General features: G+C 42.6%; 1 annotated feature.

Moving 5' to 3' along the window:
- Positions 1681-1877: a silencer, noted in NCBI's record as "fragment chr11:46220028-46220224 (GRCh37/hg19 assembly coordinates)". NCBI's record gives its function as "represses an EF-1alpha promoter that drives an FKBP-Casp9 reporter gene in an ReSE screen in K562 erythroleukemia cells {active_cell/tissue: K562}" and the evidence as "EXISTENCE:reporter gene assay evidence [ECO:0000049][PMID:32094911]".

Consider the following 2551-nt stretch of genomic DNA (forward strand, 5'->3'; position numbering starts at 1 on the left):
TAAGAACCGGAAGGATTCTCTTTACTAGATCTTAAAATTCACAGATAAGTAATCCTGTAATGTGACTGTTCCTTCTCTCCTACTTTAGACAGCCAAATCTGGCTCTTGATATATAAAATTTACAGGAGAAAAACTTAAGTTTGGCTTGAGAAGTCTACAAGAATGGTTAGAAAGAGAAATATCCTGCATATAGTAGACACTCAATAAATGCTGAATTGGGCTGGAAGCCTTGGACATGCACCCTGGAGTAACAGAGGATGTCATGTACGTGTTTAACTACTGAAGCTTTCATTAACTGTGGCAGTGTTAAATACAGTCGACACTAATGAGGGGGAGTGGTGACCTGGATACACCAAAACAGAGGGAAATCCCAGATCAACTCTATTTAGTCTTGAAATACAGTCCATGATTTTTTTTTCCTGTAACAAAAGTACCTTTCCAATTCTGCTTGGCTTGGATGAATATTGCAATGAGCTTATCCTCCATGAGCCCACAGAGAAAATCCGCTGCATAAGGCAGTCGACCAACCAGATTTAAAAGTTACCAAGGAAATTTGAATTTGAACGTACTGGCTGGTATTAAGAAATTATTATTAGTTGCATTAAGTGTGATATGGATGTTACTTTCACTACGTAGGGAATATGTTCCTTTTTTCTTTTAAAGGTACATACTGGAATTAACAAATAAAAGTTACCATGGGCCATCTTCAAAAGGGACACTAAAGATTTGACTGTATTATAGCATTAAGTACCATTTACTGAAATTTTTTGGTGCAAACCAGTTTAGATACTTAATTTGAATCCTAAACAAACCTCTCTGAGGCAGCTGTCATTATCCCCATTTTACAGGTGAATGAACTGAGCCTCAGAGGCAGTAGTGACTATTCAATGTTTCTGTCCCAATTCTGCTTCAGGGAACCCCTCTCCCTCCCACTGGACACTATCATGATGCGACAGTCATGACACAGTCTCATCAACAATAGTCGAAGTACCAAGAGTCAAAGTGCCCTGCCCTGCTGCCCAGAGTGTGGTGTGGGACCCAGGCCTCTCATGTAATCCACAATCTACATGACTAATATTCAGAGCAGAGATGGTGGAAACTCTGAGGACCTCATCCATCAGCCCTTTCTGAGGTCCAGAGCTTGAGCCTCCCCTGCTCAAGGCAGCCACATTAGTTTCTGTTACATGCAACCGAAGCACACTGACCAAGAGAGAAACATTACGTGACTGCTGCCAGACAGCCCAGCTAGTAAGTGGCAGAGTGAGGATCTGAACCCAGGGCTGTCTGATGTCAACGCCCCATGCTTCCTCTCAAGCAATATCCCTAAGGGGTCAAGTTCATGGGACTTGCAAGTCCTGACTTTGACTTTTCATGCCTTCTGCATCTTCCTTATAAAATTCTTACACACTTACCTCCATGTCTCTCTATGCACAGGTGTGTAATAATGCATCTCTGCACTATTGGAACTTTGGGTATCCAGCATTTAATTCAGTGATTGCTTTAATCCATATTCCCCCGAATAACAAGCTATGGAGGATAAAATTTACTGCTACTTTCACCATCTCTTTGTAAATAGAACAACATTGACAGAGAGGCATGAATAGGTCATCTGGTCCAACTTCCTGCCTCAAATAAATGCTGCCCTAAAATCAATAGAATTCAGTCATGTGACTGGAGTCACTTTTGCTATCATCATGATTACAAGTCTACTAACTAATGTCAGCCTTACAGAGCACCATGTGCTATTCTAATATAGAATGTGCTAAGTCCTAAAAAAAGACCGCAAGAGAGATCCTCAGCAGCCTTGGAGGGTAGTGGGAAGACCACAGGCTCTGCAGCCAAAAAGACACATCTCATCCCAGCTGTGTGACTTTGGACAATTACCTACCTTCTCTGAGCCTCGATCTCCTCATCTGTAAAATGGGGATAATAATAGTGCCAACCTCACAGTGTTCTTGAGATGATTGTATCAGATGATAACTATCAGATGACAGTTAAACAGCTTGATACACTGTAGGAGCCAATCACGCCAGTACTTCCTTTCCTAAACAATTTAGGACAGTTGATCGCTTATGCCTATTTTTAAAGATCTCCAAGGAAGGAGAAACCATAGCATCCCTTGGTAGCTACTGCCTGTGTTTAACAACCCACTTAGATGATGTGTGAATATAGCACAGAGGCCCACATCCAAGGAGCCTGACGCAGGCTGGGAGGCATGCCAAGCAGCTTGCTGGACTGCCACCCATCCTATACCTTCCCCCGCCATTGCCTCCTAAATATATATATCAGCTTAGCCATCCTTCCCGGGCCAACCTCTTCCTGGAAACCCTGTCTGATAATCCCCTGGTTTGGTATGTTTTTGATTCTCAACCACTGTAGCACCTGTTGGCTGTAACATGCTTCAGGCATTTCCCAAAAACAGGCTGGTACTGGAACTATTTATTGAATGAATTCATTAATTCAATAACTATCTATTGAATGCCTTGTACACTGCCAGGCAGCGTCCTAGGTACTGGCCATACGGCAGTGAACAAAACAGACGCGATCCCGC

Source organism: Homo sapiens, chromosome 11 (assembly GCF_000001405.40).
Source record: "Homo sapiens chromosome 11, GRCh38.p14 Primary Assembly".
Lineage (NCBI taxonomy): Eukaryota > Metazoa > Chordata > Mammalia > Primates > Hominidae > Homo > Homo sapiens.